Raw genomic sequence first — 24,442 nt, 5'->3', positions numbered from 1 at the left:
AGTGGGTGAGACACTCAGGCTTTTTCTTTTACTTGGTACAATCTAATCCACTGAGCAAATGAGAGATAGTGGTGGCTCAGTCTAGAGTGGTCATGGTGAGAGATTCAATATGAGGAACGGGAGAAAGAGTTGAGTCAGTGGTGTTGCCAGGGCTTTTGTCCTTAAAAACTAGGGTAAGAAAGCTGGAATGTACGAGATGTGGGATATGTGTCAGGCACAGATAGTTTTGGGGGTGGGGTGGGGAGAAAGAATAGACCAGAAGTTTGGTGTTGAGCATGGCATGTTTCAGATGTAAATGGAAATCCGTATGAGATGTGCTGTAGGGAAACAGGCATAGGAGTTTGGAATTTAGGTGAGAGTTCTAGGCTGAAAGAACAAATGCCATGCATGAAGGTACTGTTTAAAGTAATGAAGCTCAATGAGGTGACAGAAAGAAAACAGGTCTATGAGTTAAACTGAATCACAGCAACATAAGAGGAATAGGGAGATGAAGAAGGAGATTTAAGAGAGGCCAATAAATTGGGAGAAAACACAGGGGAGTGTGGTGTTCCGATAGCCAAACGATGAAAGCTTTTCAACAAGGAAGAGGTAATCAGTTGCGTCAAGTGCTGCAAGAGCATGGAGACTTCAAATTTATTAATCGGATTCTGCGACAGGGAGCTCACTGTGGACTTTGACAAGAGCAGTGTTATTGGGTGGCAGAAGAAAATGCCTAATTGGCATGAATTTCAGATAAATGGTTGGAGGAAACAGAGAGGGAGTATAGAAACATTTCAGTGAGCATTACTGTAAAAAAAAAAAGTGATCAGGGGCGCAAATGAGATTGTGGGAAGAGGTGTGAACAAGGTAATCAAACATTTAATTGTTTTTAGAGTAGAGAAATAATTATATTTTACAAGCAGATGAAAATTATTCAGAAGAGAGGGGTTATTTGATGTTAGAGGAGAAAGGGGGGAATTGCTGAAGCACATGACCTTAAATGGCAATGTCTACCATTGTGTGTGTATGGAGGCAGGTTTGAAATGGGAGCAAGCTTCTACGTCCTGGGACAGGAGATGCATGAGAATTCATGGATACATGAGAATCCATGGATGCATGAGATTTTAATGCACCAGATGCAGCTGCATTGGTGGGTGTGAAAATGGCGTCTATGGAACTTCTCTTTTGAATGCTTTACTTTTCTCAGTGCAACAGGAATCAGGGTGACCAGCTGAGAGTAAGGACCAGACAAAGGGATGGAGGCTGGAGTGACTGACACATAGACAATTTTCTTTTCTTTTCTTTTCTTTTTTTTTTTTTTTTTGAGACAGGGTCTTGCTCTGTCGCCCAGGCTGGAGTGCAATGGCACGATCTCGGCTCAGTGCAACCTCCGCCCCCCAGGTTCAAGCGATTCTCCTGCCTCAGCCTCCTGAGTAGCTGGGATTACAGGCACCTGCCACCACACCTGGCTAATTTTTGTATTTTTAGTAGAGACAGGGTTTCACCATCTTGGCCAGGCTGGTCTTGAACTCCTGACCTCGTGATCCACCCGCCTCAGCCTCCCAAAGTGTTGGAATTACAGGCGTGAGCCACCGCACTCAGCCACATAGACAATTTTCAAAAAGTTTTTAGTATGATAAATAATAGGCTTTTATTTTTAAAAATGATTAACATTGGTATTTTACATTTTTGTAACACATAAAAGTGTTACTTGTATTTCTAGATGGTGTTACTTGGGCACCAATGAAGAGATGCAGAATTCATCTAAGTCTTCTTTTCGACTTAGGGGACGTAGTAGTAGTAAAGTGGAAATGTTTTGAAGAATGCTTATGAATTTTTATAATTATTATGAGATATTCTTTGCCAACCACCATATGATGGGTACAGTCTGCATTGTATCAAATTTTATAGATCTGGAACATAAACTTTTTTTCCTTTTTAAGCACTGAGACTCAATTTTTATATTTTTTATAAAATATAAAAATTTTTTTATATTTTTCTTATATTACTCGGGGGAGTATCAAATTATTCTAGACTCAGTTGTAGGAGAATTGATGAGTTTTGAAAATTTATGGGACCAAGACTGGAGATTATTCAGAATGATTTAAAGACCTAAGCCTGAAAAGAAGGGCTAGGCAAATAGGCACATAAGGAGTTAGGGGAGTATCATGAAAATTGCAAAAGCACTAAATTTAAGTAAAAAAATTTTTTTTGAATGCATATAAAGCACTTAATCAGTATCTGAAGATAACACACATTACATATATATTAGCTACTTTTATTATAAAAGAGGAAGACAAGGAGACAAGGTCAACACTTTTTAATTCTATTGGAGGTCAGTGAGATGCGAACTAAAAGGGCTCACTGAGTTTTGTAGTTAGGAAGTCACTGGAAATCTGTGTGGGAGACTTTCTGTGGATCAATAGTAGGTAACAGATACAACTCTGCGTTATAGAATAAAATGTAAGGAGGAAATTCAGACCAAATACATGCAACTTTTTCTATAAGTTTAAAGTCTTTCCCTAACACTGTCTCTAGAGCATAGAGGAGAGAGAAGAGGCTGTGTTTAGGGGGAATTCACAGTTGAGAAAGTGATTTTTGTGTTTTACCTTGGAAAGACTGGAATACATTTATATGTCAGGGGAAATGAATGCTGTCAGGAGTGTGAGGTCAGAGATACATGGAGCACAAATTGGATAACTTGATCTCTGGAGTAAGGAACTAGGGGTGAAGGAAATGTAAATATGGAGAGGGAGAAACTCATGCATCTGAAGATGCCAACTCCAGTGTCCAGCATGATCCAGAACTGGCCTTCTCAGACTTGGTCACGCACATGAATCATCTAGGAATCTGCTTTAATGCAGATTCTGATTAAGTAGGTATATGGTGTTCAGTAGGCATATGGTATTCAGTAGGTATATGGTGTGGCCAGGAGAGTCTGCATTTCCAGCAAGCTCCCAAGTGATGCTAATGCTACTGAACCAAGGCCTAGCCTTTGAGTAGCAAGTGTGTGGTTGTACTTCTTGGATACTGGGGCTCCCTGTTTTAGGGATAGCCATGTTTATGCCTGTGGTGGCACATGCCTGTGGTCCCAGCTACACAGGAGGCTGGGGCAGGAGGATTGCTTGAGCCCAGGAGGTCGAGACTGCAGTGAGCCATGTTTGTGCCACTGCACTCTAGCCAGGGTGACAGAGTGAGACCCTGTTTTAAAAAACAAACAACAAAAAAGCACTCACTTGAAGTTTTCTACCAATTCTGTGAAACCTTCTGTGATTTGTGCAGTGATAGTCTATGGGGAGAAAATGTGCAATTGCTTAAAATGATTGAAAACCAGCAGATGAGGCTAGGCTCAGTGGCTCACACCTGTAATACCAGCATTTTGGGAGGCCAAGACGGGAGGATCACTTGAGCCCAGGAGTTTAAGACCAGCCTGGACAACAAAGTCAGACCCCATCTCCTCGAAAAATAAAAAATAAAAAAAATCAGCCAAACATGGTGTCACATGCTTGTGGTCACCTGTGGTCCCAGCTAGACAGGAAGCTGAGGCAGGAGGATTTCTTGAGCCCAGGAGGTTGAGGCTGTAGCGAGCCATGTTCGTGCCACTGCACTCCAGCCTGGGTGACAGAATGAGACCCTGTTTCAAAAAAAAAAAGAAGGAACAAGAAAAAGAAAAAATCAGCAGATGAAAATGGTTCTTTATAAATAAAAACAAAAAACACTATTTTATTATTCAAGATACAGAATTATAATCGTTGATTTATCTTTATTCCCCAATGCATTGTAAACATGATAGCAGGAATAAAGTTTAGCCTTCTCATCTCATGTAACTAGCAGAATGATGTACTCAGGTTAAATGAATCAATGAATGAAGAGAGTCTCCTTTTATGTGAGTTGGTAGAGCTTTCATGGAGGAATTTAGAAAGAATTCTGATATTTATCTTCTCTAAGAAGTAGAAGCTCCTGTATGAGCTTAAAGTTTATTTATTTACTTATTGAGACTTTTATATGTTATTTCCATTTTTTAGTAGACATAAGACTATTCACGTTGTCTATTTCTTCTTTAGTAGCATTTATAACCTATGTCTTTGTAGGAAGTGAACTATTTCATCCAAGTTATCACATTGATAAAAATAGCATAGGTCATATTATCGCCTAATTCACCTTTATCGTTAGCATTTTGATGTCTGTTAGGTTTGTAGTGATGAACCCTTTTTGCAATACTGACATTGGTAAGTTATGTATTCTCTACTTTTTCTTGATTCATCCCAATAGAATTTTGTCAATTTTAGTGCTTCTTTAAAAAAAAAAAAAAAAACTTCTTGTTTTATTGTTTTTCTTTATTTTTTTGTCATTTCCTATGCTATTGATTTCTGTCCTTTATTATTTCCTTACTTTTGCTTAATTTTGATTAGTTTGACTCTCTTTATATAATTTCTTATTGTAGGAGCTTAGATAATTAATTTGAGACCTTATTTTCCTTTCATATATAAGAGCTTTATGCTATAAATTTTGCCCTATGCACTATTTTAGCTAAAACCCACATTTTGTGTTATAGCATGTTTTTATTTTTACACAGGTATTTTCTGATTACTTCTGTGATTCCATTTTTGAATTTCATATGAGTGTATGGTTTATTTTGTAAATTTTTGAGAATTTTACATATATCTTCCTACTGATTTCTAGTTAAGACAAAACTTAGGATTTCTATCCTTTTAAATTTTTTGAGAATTGCTTTTTGGAACACAGTATGTTTCATCTTGAATGACTTCATGTATAATATGAAAATGTCATAACAATATACTTTCATTGTTTACTCCCTTCATTTGTATTCTTAGTGTCCTAAATCATACTTCTACATTTGTTGCAAGCTCCACATCACATTTTTATGGTTTTTGCTTTAAACTTATCTTCTTCCAGAGATATAAAAATAAGAAAAATCATCTTTTAAATATAATCATGTATTTATTATTTCTAGAATTCTTCATTCTTTGTGTAGACCCCAAGGTTCATCTGTTATCATTTTCCTTTTGCTTTTAACATTTCTTATAATGCTAGGTTGCTGGCTATGAGTTCACCTTTTGTATACCTGTGGTAGTCTTTAAGGCATCTTCACTTTTCAAAGATATTTCATGGGTATAAAATTCTAAGTTGATTTTTTTTTTAAATAGCATTTTAAAGATATTGCTTTATTTTCTTCCGACATGCATATTTTCTGAAAAACCTTTGAGATTCTTATCCTTGTTTTACTATATATAAAGTATCTTTTAATTTTTCTATCTGCTTTGAAGATTTTCCTTCAGTATCTGGCATATGAAGCAATACGGTTAAGTATACTTTGAGTTAATTATCTTTGTTTCTTCTGCTTAGGGGTAATTGAGATTCCTCTAACTTTGGACATACAATTTTAATCAAATTTTTAATTTATTGTTCAATATTATTTATTGATTTCTCCCATCTTCTCTCTTCTCTTGTTCTGAGACTCTAATTACACACATTAGACCAGCTTATTTTGTCTCATGGGTCAATGAGTCTATGATCTTTTTTTTTTCCTTTTGGTCATTTCCCACCCTCTGCTTCATTTTAATAGTTTATTTATTTATTTATTTATTTTAAATCATTGTGTCTTTGCTTTCCTTTTAAGTAATCTTATCTTCTATGGTGTCTAACATTTTAAAAATCCTATTTGACATATTTTTCATTTCTTCCTTTTTACTTCTGGAATTTCTATGCAGCTCTGTTCTGTAGCTTTCATTCCTGTCCTCCCTATGTCCATGTTTTCCTCTACATTCCTGGGCATATGGAGCATATTTATATTAGTTCTTAAATGTCCTTTGCTGTTAATGCTATCATTTCTATAATTTCTGGTCCTGCTTCTGTAGATCCCTTTTTTCCCATTTTATGTGCCGCAATTTCCTGCTTCTTTGCACACTGGATTATTTTTGATTGGATGTCAAATTTTTGTGTTTTGAATTTTGCTGTATCTTTCCAGAAAGTGTTAGACTTTGTTCTGGCATGTAGTTAAGTTCCTTTTGAGATTCATTTTCTTATTTTTAAAAGTTTCTTTTAAGCTTTCTTGGGGGCGGGTTCAGAGTAGTAGCCTTTAGACTAGGCCCAATTTATCCCATTACTAGGTGATATCCTTCTGAGGACTCTAGCCAATGCTTCATGAATTGTGCATTCTCTGCACTCTGACTGGTTGAAATGTGAGTTTTTGCTAGAATGGTTTCCTTTATTGCTGTCTGATTATTCTTTCCCCAGACTTATGCAGTTTGAAGCCATGCACATTCAAGTCAGTATTCAGCCAGAAATCAAAGGGTCCCTCTGAATCCCTGTAGGTTTCTCTCTTCATGCAGTTTCATCCTGCTTTACAGTCTGCCCACAAGATCTGGCCATCTCAGCCTCAAGCTTTAATCTCTTTATCCACAACTTGGAAAAATTGCAGAGCTATCTTGGGATTAGCCTTCCTTGCACTGTGGATTTGAAACTACGTCAAATCATTTTTTTGGCAAAATTGTAGCTCATCTCATTTGTGTCCTTATAGGTTTTCTTGTCTTGTGCTACCTATTGTCCAATGTCTGAATAACGTGGTTACATACACAAGAGGACTTCAGAAAGTTCATGGAAAAATGGAATCAAAAGCCAAAAATAAAACATATAAGCTTTGTTTCCCAACATAAGCTCCATCAAGCTTAAGACACTTTTATAAGTGATGTTATCAGCCACTTAGTCCATCCCTAAAGAATTGAGGGTCCTGGGAATTTAACCATGTCAATGTAGGTTTTGAAAAATATTATTCACTGAAGAAAAATGGGTGCTCTTTAAAGGTTGTTGTTTTTTTTTTTTTTTTTTTTTTTTTTTTTGAGATGGAGTCTTGCTCTGTCGCCCAGGCTGGAGTGCAGTGGTACAATCTGGGCTCACTGCAAGCTCCGCCTCCCGGGTTCACACCATTCTCCTGTCTCAGCCTCCCGAGTAGCTGGGACTACAGGCGCCCACCACCACGCCCAGCTAATTTTTTGTATTTTTAGTAGAGATGGGGTTTCACCGTGTTAGCCAGGATGGTCTCGATCTCCTGACCTCGTGATCCGCCTGCCTTGGCCTCCCAAAGTGCTGGGATTACAGGCATGAGCCACCATGCCCGACCTAAAGATTCTTATAAGAACAGGAAACAAGAACAAGTCAGGAGACAAATCAGGACTGTAAGGTGGATGCCTAATGATTTCCCATTGAAACTCTGGCAAAATTACTGTTATTTGATGAGAGGAATGAGCAGGGCCATTGTTATGGTGGAGAAAGGCTCTCTGATGAAGCTTTCTCAGACATTTTTCTGCTAAATCTTTGGTTAACTTTCTTAAAATACCCTCGTAATAACATAACATTCAATGTTCACTTTGGGGCAGGGTTTTAGCATTAAGATGAGGTGGAATTTGGCTCTTTACATCGAAAAGTGAACTACAGGACACAGAATTTGTGCACAGCCTCTATAATCTAGCTGAAACTGGCTTGTGGTCTGCAGTTGCTTATCAGAAAATAATCTTTATAAGGCCAGTCTTCTGTCCAATCAGAGTTGTAGAGGTCTGGGTTGTAAATCAGAGTTGATAGCTCCTATTGTTAACAAGTTTAGCTATAGGAATTTAGAAATGTGCCATGCCAACCAAGAACCTTAGCATACCCCTTAGTTGATAAAGGGGCATCCATTTTGGTCTCTCAGATCATACCCACTAGATGCCAATAGCACCTTCCAGTTGTGAGGAACAAAAATATCTCCAGATATTACCTAATGTCCCCTGGGAACCAGTCCCTTAACTTATGGAATTTGTACTTTCTCTTACTTGTTCATAACGAGGAAACTATGTTCTATGTACATTAGTGTATTGGTCTGTTTTCATACTGCTATAAAGAACTGCCAGAGACTGGGTAATTTATAAAGGAAAGAGGTTTAATTGACTCACTTTTCAGCATGGCTGGAGAGACCTCAGGAAACTTACAATCATGGTAGAAGGTGAAGGGGAAGCAAGGCATCTTCACAAGGCAGCAGGAAGGAGAAGTGCCTAGTGAAGGGGGAAGAGTCCCTTATAAAACCATCAGATCTCGTGAGAACTCACTCACTATCACAAGAACAGCATGGGGGAAACTGCCCCCATGATTCAATTACTCCCACCTGGTCTCTTCTTTGACACATGGAGATTATGGGGACTACAATTCAAGATGAGATTTGGTTGGGGACACAAAGCCTAATCATATCAGTTAGTTTCTATTTCATTTTGTGATGATCTAACCAGTCCAGAAGTGGTATAATATAGTAGTGTATAAACAAAGAAATAAGAAATTTCAAGGAAGATCTCTAAGAGGTAAAATATGAGATTTTTTTTTCTTGTATCTTGGATGGATGTGATGAGTTTGTAGAATTTGACAGTGTTTGCAAAATGAGATGAGCAAAGAAACTGAACAATATAAATCAAAGAGTAAACAACTGTATTTGACAACTTTCTAATTTGTTCCTCTTTAAAAGAAATTATTTACATGAGGATTTTAGGCCATCTATAATTAATGTATATGGATTCCTATTGTTTCTTGTAAAATTTCTAGAACTGCGTTAAAGAATTCTGATGCTAATAAAGGTGGCTAGCACTGATTGCACCTTTATTATGTGCTAGGATCCATGCTAAGTGTTTTGGAAGCTTTATTTAAGGCTTAGGGTAATATTTTATCTTCCTTTAATATTTTGAAGAAAGTGACACTTGCCAAATTAATTTTGCCCCCCAAATTGTACAGCAGTTATCTTGCTTGTGTATTTGTCAAGCTCTGAAGGGGACAGGCTGTATTTGTTTCTGTTCCCTCTCTCTTTTTCTTCTGTTTTCCACATCACTTTTACTTGCCTAAATCATCAGTATTGATGACTGGTCTTTAAAGTTTTGTCCTTGTCTAATTATTTGTTGATCTCGTCCTTATATCTGTAACTTCCTGTGTCTACCTTTATTATAATGCAAACTAAACTGTTTAATGATTTTTACCTGTTTGTTAGTAAACATGTAAACTAAGCATAGTGGGTCATCATTTTCACAATTTCACCTGTTCACCATTAAATTCCTAGTACCTAGAATGCCGGTTTGGTCTATAAATCAGTATATAAATGGTTTAGTGGGCTGAACATTGCATTGGCATTCTTGGTATTCACTACTAACAAATGCAGAAGTAGGAGAGGGAAATAAATCATAGTTTAAATGTGGTACCTGAACTATCCCTAATTCTCTAGGGATTTGTGAACTTCTCGAGCTATTTATGTGCCTCATGATCTTCCAGAAATATTGCAGCAAGATTCTGAGGTGTTGCTGACTCATACAAGGTGACACATTTGTTTTCAAAATAAATAGAAGAGCCAGGCCAGGAAGAAGGAAGCCAAGATAAACATAAGTAAAGATTACTGTAATTGAAAGAAGAGGGTATGTACTTGTAGAAAAGTGACTTCTCTAATATGCGTGTTTCTGCTTTTCTCCTAATTTTATATTTTCCATGGCCAATGTCTATAATTTGCCTGGGAATCCAATTAATTGCAATCACATCTAAGAAATTAGTATTTATAATTGGGCTTCCAAGCAAATTATAATAATACTTCCAAGCATAAATTAGTAACATTTGAACGGAGAGTTATTTTTCTTATTTCATGCCTAGTGTTTAGATGTCTTCTTTGAAAGACACACTTGGCAGTTTTGCCTCATTTTTTAAAAGTACACCCTATTTTCTTTTTTGAGTTGGAATCTCACTCACTCTGTTGCCCAGGCCGGAGTGCAATTGTGCAATCTTGGCTCACTGCAACCTCCGTCTCCTAGTTTGAAGATTCTCCTGCCTCAGTTGTCCAAGTAGCTGGGATTACAGTTGTGTGCCACCACACCTGGCTGATTTTTTGGATTTTTAGTAGAGGTGAGGCTTTGCCATGTTGGCCAGGCTGGTCTCAAACTCATGACCTCAAGTGATCTGTCTGCCTTGGCCTCCCAAAGTGCTGGGATTACAGGCGTGAGCCACCACACCCAGCCAAGTATACTATTTATTTTTAATAGAAACTATACATGCCCATTAAAAATTAATAAACCGCACAGAAAAGTAAAACCAAACCATCATTCCAGATTTACCATGTAGAAACAGCCATGGTTTACTGTGCAGAAACGTGTTAACACAGCAAGGCCAAGACTGCTCTCCCAATGCCTACTTAAATGGCTGGCCAAGAGGCCAGCACCTGGAAGCTCTGTGCACACTAGTTTCAAATAAATGCTTAAAGTTTAATATTACTTGAAGGCAAGAGAAGACAAAGACACCCCAAAATATTATAAAGAAAAGATTATAAAAGATATTATGTGGTTGGAATTGTTACTCTTTCAATTCCATATTTGTTTTATTATTTACTGATGTTCTAATATTAAGTTCAAGATAAGTCACACTCATAGGTTTTCTCCACCACTCCTCCCACCTACCAGTTTTTCTAACATATTATTATTTGAAAATTCTTAGTTTTATCACAGCAAATTCTCCCTCCTATCATTCTTATTTTATTTAATTTTAGTTTCATACTTAGGTACATAGAAAAATGATTAATTTTACTGATTCTTTTTTCCACTGTATGCTTAATTTTGTAAATTTAATTCATATCTTTGTTTTTAAACAGGGGTCTATGGATGGTGTTTTCTTTAAGTTTATGCATGATAAATTTTACCTACAGTTATATCTAAAGTACACTTGGATTGGACAACTTTTTTTTCTTCTATAAGTATTACTTTATTTTATCTGGGTACCGAATATTGTACTAGCCCATTTGTTCTTGTTTTCTGTTTATGATAGGATGGCTAGGTTTTGCCATTGCATGGCACATCATGCCCCCTGCCCCCAACACAACCCCCCCACAAGGCACATACACTCACAGAGTTTATTTTCCTTAGAATTATATAGACATTGCTTTGTTAGCTTCACATACTAAATTTAGTAGAGAGACATTTGGTAGCAATTATATTTTCTTCCTCATAATCAGCTTGCCTTTTTTACCTGAATGCCTGAAAAATTAAAGTTTTCCCTTTGGTGTTCAGAAGCAGAAGCTATATTCCAGTGTTGCTTGCTCTTTTCAGTTATTCTTGGAACATAACCTGCCCTTTGATTTATAATTTTTTTCTATTAATTCCTTGATCTATCTTTCTTTCTTTTCTTTTCTTTCTTTTCCTTTTTTTTTTTTTTTTTTGAGATGGAGTCTCCTTCTGTCGCCCAGTCTAGAGTGCAGTGGTTCAATCTCGGCTCACTGCAACCTCCGCCTCCCAGGTTCAAGGGATTCTCCCATCTGAGCCTCCCGAGTAGCTGCCACCACACCCGGCTAATTTTTGTATTTTTAGGAGAGACGGGGTTTCTCCATGTTGGCCAGGCTGGTCTCAAACTCCTGACCTCAGATGATCTTGATATTTCTAGTTTATTTCTTAACTTTATGTTTTTGTCTTATTTCACATTTTATATTTTTGTTTAACTCTTTTCTAACCCTTTTCATCTCATTTCATTGTCTCACTACCTTGTCTTCATGCTCTTGTATTGAATTCATGTTCTGTTCATCTCGCTGTGTTTTTTGGGAGTGAAGTTTTCAGAAATTTGGAATCAGACCCTTTGGCCAGGTTAGGGAGGGGGCAATGCTGAGATGGGGGCAGCAGCGGCAGAAGTCAAACTTTAATGATTTTAACATTTTCAAAGTGCCCAGGACATGTGTACAAAGACACATTTAATGGAAATTGTGTAGGTTGCTTTTTTGTTTAATCTTAACATTTAATCTTAACATTTTCTGATTTAAAAATTGTAAAATCTTGTTTAACAAAAACTTTTATGTATTAACATACTATTTTCCTTTCATTACAGAATTGTTTATAAAAGTTCCTTTGTTAAAAAATAAGGATCCTTTTTAACACCACAGCATTTGTACTGTTGCTTTTTAATATAGTGAAAATACAAAAGGAAGAGCATGTGCTATTTTTTTGATGTCACTGACTTCAGAGACACTGTGTTCAAAGAATTACCAACATACTTTAATTCAGTGATTGCTTGGTGTTTAGAATGTCAGTGCTTTAATTTTGAGCATCCTGAAATATATCTTTTGTACATACAGAGACGGATGTATCAGAATCAGATTTTCAGTAACCCCTGGATTATAGTTTGGAGTACTTTAATTTAGTTACCCTCAGTGGTCTCTAGGAGTTTATGTACACTTAGATTTTCTGTTTATAAATGCATTTAGCTTTTCTGTATCTGGGTAGATGGAGCTATTCAACTACTCAGCATAGAATTAAGATTAAAAATTTGTTTGCTAAAGAAAAGGAATAAAAAAAGAAAGAAATTTGAAATCACCCCACTATCTCTTCCCAGGAAGTGTAAGATTGCATTTTTGAATATTCAGGTTATTTCTAAACATGTAGAATCAGGAAGTCTAATAACTGAACACAAATTAGAGAGCTATTCATCCAGCAGATTTCTAGTCTTGGCCAGACATTGGGACCATCTGCGGTTCTTTCCAAAGTGCAGTTTCCAGGGTCCATGCCTGGAATGCTGAAGAAACGGGTCAGAAGTTCACCCAAGACATCAGTTTTAGAAGCTCCCTGGGAAATTCTAATAGGGAAGCAAGCTGAGAGCCACTGGGTGAGCCCAGTCCTCTTATTTTACCGTGAGATATGGTGGGGCCCTCAGAAAACACTAGCTCTCATCGTTGCCCAGACTCTTACGTGTTTTGTGATTTGGGCTATGTTATGATCTCCCTGAGCTGTTGTTTCCCCATTTTTAAAATGGAAATAATAACAGTTGTGGGGACTGGGGAAGAATAGGTGAAATGAGAAAGTAAAGCAGCTGGGGTAGAGTGAGGGATGTGATAGACATCAGCATCTCTTGGTGACCAACTGCCACTGCTAATGATGATGGTAATGATGGTGATGGTGGTGGTTATGACAGTGGTGATAATGATGGAGCACTCACTTTAGGAAATTGTATATTTGAGGTTTCATTGTATTCAGCAATCCCAGTTGTTGGCTAGGAGCAGGAAGCGAAGCCCCCCATTCCCTGACTCTTTGCAAAGGCAATTATAATCCTAGAGAATTGACGTATGGTACAAGTCTGTTGAATTGAACCAAATAGCCAAATGCAATGTTCTCCTCATAGCTGAAGCCTTGTATTTATGTGATTTTAAACACATTAAGATAATTTACTGAATTGGATGTCTTTATCATTCCATGATTGCTGAACAGATTATTTTACTGTACAATACCTTGCATTTTATACCAAACTAAACAAAGATAGTACTGTCTCTCTTTCTGAAAGCATTCAAGAAATGTTGCCTACTTTTGTTAGTATTTAATTTTATTTTTAGCTACTTGCCACAGGTGGATAAATTAATGTTTTATTCATTTTCTTCTTAGTGGAGCTTAGCATATTACCCAGGTAAGTCACTAAAAACCACATTTTAGTTTTTAGCTCTTAGGAGATGACATGTAGAAGGGATATATGAGAATTCATTAATACTGCATATTAATATATAGTATGACATATATCTATTCGTTAACATATGAAGGATTTTTTACTTAATCCAATGCACCTCAAAGATATTTTTCTTTAACACTTTGCTTTATCTCTTCTTTGGAGGCATAATGACATCCATTAGATACTATTAATCACTAATCTAGAAAAAATACATAATCTTTGCAGACTAATTCTTTCTTAGTTTTGGGGACAGTAAGGGCAAAATAAACAAAATTAATGGGCATAGTGACCATATTCTTTTCAAATTTTAAATTGGAGCCAATGACCTGGCAAAAGAATGACATTTGGCTGGGTGCGGTGGCTCACGCCTGTAATCCCAGCACTTTGGGAGGCCAAGGCAGGCAGATCACTTGAGGTCAGGAGATCAAGACCATCCTGGCCAACATGATGAAACCCCATCTCTACTAAAAATACAAAAATTAGCTGGACATGGTGGCGCATGCCTGTAATCCCAGCTACTTGGGAGGCCGAGGCAGGGGAATCGCTTGAGCCAGGGAGTTGGAGGTTGCAGTGAGCCGAGATCATGCAAGTGTACTCTAGCCTGGCGACAGAGTGAGACTCTCTCAAAATAATAATAATAATAATAATAATAATTTGAGAGTGACATTTGTGTGATTCGTGAAATTAATCATATGAATAGTTTTATAAAAATGAATTGTAGTTATAAAAACTAAATTTACAGTTAACAATTTGCCTTCATTACCTGCATATAATTTTAGAAACAGGAAATAGAACATAGAATCTATGTTGTCACACGTGTTTATTGACCATAAAATTGATGGGTATTACATGCATACTGATTTGAATAAGTCTTTTTCTATTATTTTCTCATTCCTTTTAACAAATCTCTGAGTAATTTGTATTATCACATGAAATTTTACATGCTTAATGGTCAGAAATTATTATACTTTTGTGACACTCAAATTACCTTTGTTCACAGGATTTCCTACTGGAGACCAATTTGCACATTTTGTTTATATCTAGAGTATTAATATTCACACAGCATTTTCTCTGACCTGTACACATTTTTCTCCTTATTCCATTCAATCAATAAATTCTCATTAAACTATTATTAATGACCTGGAGAGAGACCTTATGTACACATACCATATGTTCTCTAATTTATATTCAAACAAATAATATTTTTTCAACCCAATCCAAGAGAATTATGAAAGAAAATTAATAGACAGCATCAAAACCTCCCTTTGATAAATCTGCCTTTAATAGAACAGTTAAATAAAGCTCCTCTGTAAGACTGTTGCACCAAATCCACACTGCTCTAAGATGAACTTCATTTAAGTACAGGGTACAATTCCTGAGATGCAGATTTCAGTGCTTAATCTGGAAGTAGTGGGTTGGAATCTAGTGGCTGGACACACTGTAGAAGAATACAGACTTCCTTCTGTCTTTGGATCTTACAAAATTTTCATGAGCACACCAGAAGAATTTTGAAATGTTAAAGAGTAAACTTGTAGCAGTGATAAAAGAAAAAAAGACACAAATTACTTAATTCTTATTGAGTATGTATTGTGGGCCAACTATGCACAATAGTGCTTAATTCTTTGTGTGTGTTACCTCATGTAATATTCATAATGTTACCTGTATTATTTCAAGATTATAAACCAGTCTAGAAACCATGGGTGCAAAGATGAACATATGTGTTTCTATGTCCTTACCAAAAAGGAAAACATTGAATATCCATACAGAATAACTCTCATATCAACTGAAAGATCTAAATTGTTGGGCTAATTATGATCATTCCCCTTTTATAGTCATTGGGAACACATGCTTCATAACTGTTCTAGGTTACTGTCTTTGTTTATTTGTTTTTATGTCTGCCCCAATAGTTCAGTAAATAATGAAGATAAGGAGACATAGCCTCTGTTTTCCTGTCCCTCACAGTTCAAATGTGTGGCAGTTGGCATATAGATAATTAGAATAATATACGAATACAGGATCCAAACTTTATCTGATTCTTGACTCATACTCTGTTTTCATAGATGAAGAGTATGAACTGAGTTGATTTCATTATATCATGATGCAAACTAAGTCACTGTGATTTCCAAGTTACCAAGCAGGAAACACTTGCCAGATTTAATACAAGTATTTCTTTTTTTTTTTTTTTTTTTTTGAGACAAAGTCTCGCTTTGGTTGCCCAGGCTGGAGTGCAGTGGTGCGATCTCGGCTCACTGCAAGCTCCGCCTCCCAGGTTCATGCCATTCTCCTGCCTCAGCCTCCCAAGTAGCTGGGACTACAGGCACCTGCCACCATGCCCGGCTAATTTTTTGTATTTTTTTAAGTAGAGACAGGGTTTCACTGTGTTAGCCAGGATGGTCTCGATCTCCTGACCTCGTGATCCACCTGCCTCGGCCTCCCAAAGTGCTGGGATTACAGGCGTGAGCCACCACGCCCGGCCTAATACAAGTATTTCTACTTGGAAATCTCAGCCCATGAGGCACTGGCCAATGATTTTGGTAACTAAGTATTTTCTTTCAGTGTGTGTAATGTATATGAATTGTTGAAAGAAGAAAGTTGGCAAATACTACATAATTGTTACAGATCTGTTAGCATACTTCTTTGATTATTAACTTAGGTTTGAAACTAAACTTAGAGCTTCAAAACTCAATGAAGTAAAACACATCTAACAGCTAACAGAAAAATGGACTGTGAAATAGAGTAAGAGATAAAAGCCTTGAGAGTTAATAATGCTTTAAATACTTATAAAGTTTCTTTTTAATTAAATTAGCTGTAAATTTGTCATAATTCAATATTGACACCATGGCCCTTCTAAGTTTTACCTTAAAGTTCTTAAATTGAGAAATAATTTTAGTTCAGTCAACTCATGTTATTTTCACGTTTTATGTATGATTAATTACTAACAAACAATTTTATATGACATCTACAATTCTAATTCAAACCTTGAAATTATAGTTTTTCTAGCTAGTGTTTCCACTGTTTTCCTTTTGTTAATTAAGAAAAGAACAGGCATTTAATTGTATTTAACTTGTAATGAAGTACTAATGCTTTGTCATCCACTAAATTTACAATATCAGAAAGATTATTGTCACTATGAAACAATAACAATTTGGTGCTGCACACATTCTCATGGTATAAAAATTTTCTGTCTCTTTCACAGTGTTTTTTTAAAATTGTGGTAAAATGCACATAATATAACATTTGCCGTCAACTCTTACGCATATTTTAATTGAACATTGTTTGGGGAAAAGAAGCAGGTGAGACAGTGGAGAATCATTTACGTTGAAATTGTAGTTTATTCTAGGATTACTAAGATATTCCTTGCTGAAGTTATGTTTTGAGTCTTCAGTGGAATTTCCAGTCATCATCAATCTGAGAATCATAGGCTAAAATTAATGAACTAACTGCCGGAAAAGAGAGACATTCCTCCCACCAACCTTCCACCTCCCACTAGAGACTTTGATAATGGTGGTTTTGTTTGTTTGTTTGTTTGTTTTATAACATACCTCCACTATTGGTGAAATACTCTCTGGTTAATAGCCCAAACCATTCAGTCTCCTGCCTAGATAACCTCCTATCTCCAGGGTATCTAGGTGCTACCAGACACCTATCTGACTAAAGGGTCATGGTTGTTTAACAGTGAGGAGTAGCCAGCAGCATGCTGGCAGGTTTGGCAGGTGTTACCTCGTGGTAGGGAGCCATATTCAATCACTATTGAGAAGCAACAGCAACACATGAGCTGGTCTTACCAGGTGTTGCCCAGGCATTACCAGGCAATGGTAGGGATGACCCGGTGTTACCCAGGTGTCACGATGGTGCAGAGCCATATTTAGTCATCAGGGAGGAGCAGCAGGCAGCACACAGGCGAGTGTTCCCAGGTATCGTCCAGGTGTAACCCAGGTGTTTCCAGATGTTACCAGTAATGAGCCCTGGTTAGGGATCACTGTGGAGCATCAAGCAGCATGCTGGCACTGAGCTGCTTGATGTTCCTATTCTCCCCCTAGACTTCTGTTCACCAAAGCTACCACATTTATTTCTTATATTCCTAACCCTGTTGTGACATCAAATAAACAGAAAGTGTCCTCCTTGTTCATCTTCCACTTCCAACGTTGAGGAACCATGGCAGCCCTTCACTGGATGGCCTTTGCATTGGTTCAGGTACCCTGAATGGTTGTAGCAAACGGAGCTTGACATGTACAAGAGTTCAAACACGTGTGTACTTGCTTTATACCCATGAAGCAGTTCAAGGCAGCTGTTCCCGGCAGGGTGCTGTCCTTCTCCATATGGGCAGACAGCATTCTGGCGTCTCTCCTCCTGTGGCCCCACCATTCCCTCATTCCCTACAGCTGTGGTGCCACCCATATCCAGCTAATAAAGAAGAACACGGGGGCACCATCCCCCACCATCTGCAAGCCTCGGTCCACAGTGGCACAGAACTTTGCTGATTACGTTCCATTCACAACAACGTAGCCACCCCCAGGTAAAAGAGACAGTGAAATTTAACCTGGCTATGCACAGGCATTCCAGGTGAAAATGCATTTTGATAAAAGAAAATGTCACTTTGATAGGAGAAAAGAAAACAAATACATCTATTTTGTTAAACATTCAAGCAGACTTCATGTGTCTTTAATGGAATAGTAGTTATCATGGAAACCATCTCCCATAAGGATAAAAGGAGGCTTGGTATAAAAGTTAGGGTTATGGTGATCATCTTTTCAGCCATCTTCTATAAAGCAAAAAGAGGGTTAGGGATAGGGCTGGGTGGAGGGCTGGGGCTGGTGGGGCTGTCTTGGCCATTCTCTTCCATAGGAAAAAGGAGAGCAAGAGCACAGAGAGCATCCTTCCCTTTCTTTCCCTGGATGGGACAGCTTTTAGAAATCTCAGCAACTCCTCTGTTCAGTGGCAGAAAAGAGCCATTATCTTCCAATTGCAGCTCCTGTCTTAGGGATGACCGAGTGCTGTCCTGAACCATTTTTTCCTAAGGAAAAATAGGCATTTGATAAATGGCTCTTTCACATTACTCAGGCTTTTTCAATAATGCATTCCTCTAATAAGTCCAGGGCTTCCTATTCTCACTAATGGTTGATTGATTCTGGGCTCAACCAAAATGTCCTCAGCAAGATGCTGTTCAGACCCCAACTGTGTCACAGATAACATAGGTGTGGGCTGATTTTTAAAGAAGATTCACATTCTTCTACTGCAGAACTCATTGACAATTCCATATTAATAATAAAGGCTGGAAATTATTGAAATATGTTCAATTAGAACGCTTAGACAACTGTGCTATACAATACCAATAAATATGTTACCATTGTGAGAATTGTAAAGTTTTATAGAGCTCCTGCTATTTTGATGAGTATTTATGATATATGAGAAAATAGCCAGGTGCAATGGCTCATGCCTGCAATCCCAGTGCTTTGGGAGGCTTAGAGTGGGAGATTTGCTGGAGGCCAGGACTTAATACCACCCTGGACAACATAGCAAGACCTCATTTCTACAAAAAATAAAAATTAGCCAGGGATGGTGGTGTGTGTCTGTAGTTCTAGTTACTTGGGAGGCTGAGGCAGGAGGATTGCCTGAGGTTGGGAGTTCAAGGCTTCAGTGAACTGTGATTGCACCACTGCACTCCAGCCTGGGGTGACAAAGTGAGACCTTAACTGTAAAAAAAAAAAAAAAAAAAAAAAAAAAAAGGGAGAAAGAAAAAATTAAAGAGAGTGATGTGTTATAAGTGTAATGTATATAATCCAAAAAGGGCCCTCAAATTGTACTGAACAGGTTTTGTGACTATAATCAGTTTTTTTGGAAAACATCTTTGACCAAGATAGAATATATGATCTGTGAACGTGGGCGCATATACATGGTGTTTGTCTGTTGCATGCAATATAAAATCATCACTTATGGATTATGTTCCTTTGAGAAATCAGCACAAAATGTCACTTGGATAGGAGAAAAGAAAACAAATACATGCATTTTGTCAAATATTCAAACAAAGGTTTGGTGGGGAAAAATGTTGAACTTCCTTTCAGATGTCTTGGAAATCAGACTTCATGTGTCTTTAATGGAATATTTTTTAAAATTCTTCTTTGACTTAGCCTCTCTTCCCCAAGAAGAGCTACGAATGCTTGACCAGCTGTGAGTTCCTCAAATACATCCTGTTGGTGAAGCAGGGGGACTGTCCGGCTCCTGAGAAAGCCAGTGGATTTGCGGCCGCCTGTGTTGAAAGCTGCGAAGTTGACAATGAGTGCTCTGGGGTGAAGAAATGTTGTTCGAATGGGTGTGGACACACCTGTCAAGTACCCAAGACTCTGTACAAAGGTAAGGGGCAGCACTGGGGGTGTGAAGACACATGCAGTGTCACATATATCTGTGTGTGCCTAGGGAAGGGTGTCCATCATAGGTGTGAAAAGTCTAAAAAACATAAAATCTTTAGAAAATTTATTTTATACCACATACAGACATCTTAACATAATCACAGACCCATAAAGATTAGCCATATTAACTCGACATGGGGCAGAGCAAGTCATTCATATTAATTCTTTTTAATTTGACATATGTGATGGACAGCAACAATTCAGGAACATTTTTGTCTTTTTCTTCAGTCAGACTGATTCAAGTAAGCTCTACTAGGTACACTGGAATAAATCGATTTAAATCCTTAGAAAATAGGCTGGGAGATGAAGCACACTTGAAAAATGCATAACAAATATACTGGTATTGTGCTTTTTCTGCCGATATGACCCAAGAACATTAGTGTCGTTGTACAGATCTTAAATATTTTCATTAGTACCTTGAGATTCTAGACAAAGGATTTCCCTTCCTCAAAACATGGAGGTTCAGTTTATCAAACGGTTTAGCAAATGCAATAGTTTATATTCAAAAGCCGTTTCTAGAGCACTTAGCTCCTTAATATCGAGTGCTGCTGATCATTTTCTGTAAATGGGACTAAGCTCTTTTAAAGCCAAGATGAATCCATTGTATTAGGTATAGTTTGGGATACCATCAAAATACACCGTGACATATAACATTTTGTTAATTTTGGGGGTCTCATTGAAGAGTTATATAGAGCAGCAGTCCCCAACCTTTTTGGCAACAGGGACTGGTTTCATGGAAGATAATTTTTCCATGTTGGGGGAGGGGGCAGGGGATGGTTTTGGGATGATTCAAGCACATTACATTTATTGTGCACTTTATTTCTATTATTATAACATTGTAATATGTAATGAAATAATTATACAACTCACCGTCACGTAGAATCGGTAGGAACCCTGGGCTTGTTTTCCTGCAACTGGATGGTCCCATCTGGGGGTGATGGGAGACAGTGACAGATCATCAGGCATTGGATTCTCATAAAGAGCATGCAACCTAGATCCCTCACGTGTAATTCACAATAGGGTTCATGCTCCTATGAGAATCTAAAGCTGCTGATGATCTGACAGGAGGTTCAGGTGGTAATGTGAGTGATGAGGAGTGGCTGTAAATACAGTTGAAGCTTTGTCCACTCACCCACCACTTACCTCCTGCTGTGTGACCCAGTTCCTAACAGGCCACAGACTGCTACCAGTCAGTGGCCCGGGAGCTGGGGACCCCTAATATAGAGTCAGTCAGTAGGCAGTATTCATTAAAGTACAGAGAGAGTAACAGATGTCTTTCTCTCTCTATGTCTTTCACATACACATGCCAAATCCATATTATTTCTAAATACTGGTACTTAAAAAAAATGTGTATAAAGAAGTATTCACCATCAATGCCAGTTTTGATTTATGTGCTGGCTGCCTATTTTTGGAAGTCCATGTTACTCTAACACTTACAACAATTCACATCTCCCAGAAGTTAAGTATCTGTCCCATCTTCCTTTAGCTCCCACTTGGGAATACTTTCCTCTGAAATCTATGTAATTCAACCGGTTTTTTTTTCTTTATCGTTGGAAACACACCATAAGTCCTATGTCTTACATTCAAAATAATCAATGCTTTTCTCTTCTTACCAAGTGATGTTTCTTTAATAGTTTTAAAGTTTTATTGTGGTCATGCCTCTTATTTTAAATTACAGCAAGTCACTTTTGCGAAATTTAAAACCATCTAACTTTTAAAGCATCTGTTATTATGAAATCTTATCTGTCATTAAAGATAATATGCTATGTATGAGTAGCATTCACCATAAAAATAGGATGCTTTGGGAATCGTCTTTTTAAACCCTTTTGTAAAACCTATAGTGTTTTAAAGAGATAATATAAATTAAAATATGCACTTTTATAAAAGGACTGAAGAGTTAATATGAATTTCAAATATGCCTGTTTCACTTGAGAATAAGGGGAATATTGTAGAACGGGCCAGAATAAATGATTAAGTATACAAAGACACTTTCAATGTAAAACTACGTTTAACGAAACCAGGTGAACTTTTGTTAAAGTACTGAAGTCACTCTTCTACTACAAATTAGCTCTTAACTTAGATTTTTGTGGAGAGAGAGAGAATCAATGGGAATCAACTACAAATAGAATAAACAGACTCTGTTAACCTGACAGTGACTTTTGTGTAATGAAGACAGTCAAGTTAATAGATTGTTATTTTGCAAAAAAAAAATATATATATATATATGTATATATATATACACATATATATGTAGATATATATATGTGTATATATATGTGTATATATATATATATATATATATATATATATATATATATACACATATATATATATGTAGATTTTTTTTCTTGCTTTCTTCAGTAGTCCCTCCAGGAAGGCTGGTTTTCATGTCCTGGGAGCTTTGACAGTGCCTCTTAATATGTTAGTGTGTGTAAAAGGAGGGCAAATAGAGCCTACAGCAACTCCTTCATCATCTTAGCTAATGAGGCATTTGAAGTCCCTTTTGGCATTCCCAACCTGGAGTCCAGCTGCTTCTTCACTCTCAAAAGAGGAGAGGGGGACTGATGTACACAAGCCCCAGGGAAAGTGTCCGTTCTAACCCATCCCTTGGCTTTGCAAGGAGAAAACCATGTGCCCAGTCAGCGCACAAACCAACCTGCAATCTTAGGATACTCGTGATCACTGTCTTTCCTACCTCCAAGATGCCTTCTTATTGCCCCAAACTAATGTGAAATAAGATTGCCTCCCTCTCTCTGTCTCTGCTAGGTCTGTGTAGTTTTTTTCTTTAATAAGAGTGGGAGTCATGGTGGGTTGAGATTATCTAGTCCTGCTCTCTGTTCACAGCTGCTGAAACAGAGGTTGCAGGCTATGCCTAAGTGATTTGGTAGTAGGTAGCAGAAATAGATCTAACATCTGCTCCCATCTGGGCTAGCTCTCCTGTCATTTTTATTTTGAATGTATGGATCTCTAATGGAAACACTCACTGGGCATGGTTGTGTTATGATATAATAGGCTAACTAAGGTCTGACACAGTGGCTCACCCCTTTAATCCCAGCACTTTGGGAGGCTGAGGCAGGAGTTCAAGAGTAGCCTGGGCAAGATGGCAAGATATCCCTATCTCTACAAACATAATAAAATTAGCTAGGCATGGTGGCATGTGCCTGTAGTCATAGCTACTTGGGAGGCTGAGGTGGGAGGATCATTTGAGCACAGGAATTCGAGGTTACAATGAGCCATGATCATGCCACTGCACTCCAGTCTGGGCAACAGAGTGAGACCCTGTCCCAAAATGTATCTAAATCTGTTATCCACCTGTCTATCTAATAGGCCAACTAAAAGATTTGTCAATATAGAATATTTTTAATCCAACAAAATCACTACTTTATGAATCATTTTAGGCTAATGAATAACATGGGATTGTTTTACATTGTAGAGTTGAAGCGTATAAAACTAGATACAGAGTGTGCTATATGGAGAACCACATTCTATGGGATAAATATTGAAAACCTGAAGTTCCTCATTCATTCATTTTTTATGTATTAAAGTGTTGCATAGTGCTGTTTGGAAATCCGAAATAACATTTTCTTAACATTTCCCCGGTTTACCTTTACAAGGGGCTGCTGTCACTTGGATGGAGAAGTATTGACACATTTCAGTTGAATACACATTTACGGAGTGCCTACTATTTGCTGTCATCTATAATGGGCATTGGGGTGCAAGGATCCATGTGACACTAACCCCCCACATGGTCCAGTAGTTTATTACTGAGATTGTCATGCTCACAATACTCTTTAAGTGGGCAAATTGTTTTTCTAACCTTTAAATAAATGGACATTTACCAACCTCTGTATATATTTCATTTTATTACTTAATGAATTAATTTTTAAAAATATTTTTAAATTATAAAAACTCATACATACTTTCTGTTTGGTCTGCTGTGTTTGTGGAAGGGAAGATAGAAAGTACTGGTTTTATAGCTTCAAGAGCTTTTTATACTGGTCACTTGAGTTTTTAAAAGCGATGGGTGTCTTGAAAATATGATTTTGGGCTATGCTGTAAGAACTGCACTTAACTGATGCCTGGAAGTAAGTTAACCTTCATAGACTATAGTTTAAAACAAACAGCAGAGATCCTTTCTTTTACTTTTTAAATAAAATTATTAGCATCAAAATGAAGGCTTGGAAATATTAACATGATTGGAGATGCCTGCTGGTACTAGTTCTATGAAATGCAAAACTTCATATAGTTGTAGAAAGTCTACAGGTAGAATACAAATGAGTGCATTTGGGGGCACTCACTTCCTTTTTCCTTTCTATTTCTATTTCCTCTCTAAGTCTATTTTATGGCTTGGTGAGACAATCTTTCCTCCAGAGGGTGATATATTTTACTATTTTGTTGCCAAATCCCACTGCCTCTCTTGGCTTCCAACTGTAGCAAAAATGGTTTGGGCAGGGAGAAAGAAAAGTTAAAAAATTTTACAAACGTAAAGATTCAGACTAATTTGTGACCTATAGTTTCCTTTTGCCATGGATAAACCAAGAATTAATTGTACTTCAGTCTGTTTCTTTTCAAAA

General features: G+C 37.3%; 1 protein-coding gene across 2 annotated transcripts in view; it reads left to right on the top strand.

Moving 5' to 3' along the window:
• ANOS1 (anosmin 1) overlaps positions 1–24,442 on the top strand; it is a 203,264-nt gene that overhangs the window by 115,292 nt on the left and 63,530 nt on the right. For both annotated transcript variants that reach the window (NM_000216.4, NM_001440775.1), the window contains exon 4: positions 19,590–19,812. In NM_000216.4, coding sequence (NP_000207.2) covers positions 19,590–19,812 — 223 coding nt within the window. The remainder of the gene's footprint in view (positions 1–19,589; positions 19,813–24,442) is intronic.

This window comes from Homo sapiens, chromosome X (genome assembly GCF_000001405.40).
Source record: "Homo sapiens chromosome X, GRCh38.p14 Primary Assembly".
Classification (NCBI taxonomy): Eukaryota; Metazoa; Chordata; class Mammalia; order Primates; family Hominidae; genus Homo; species Homo sapiens.
The sequence above is the reverse complement of the archived record's forward strand: the minus strand, read 5'-3'. Positions and strand labels throughout refer to the sequence as shown.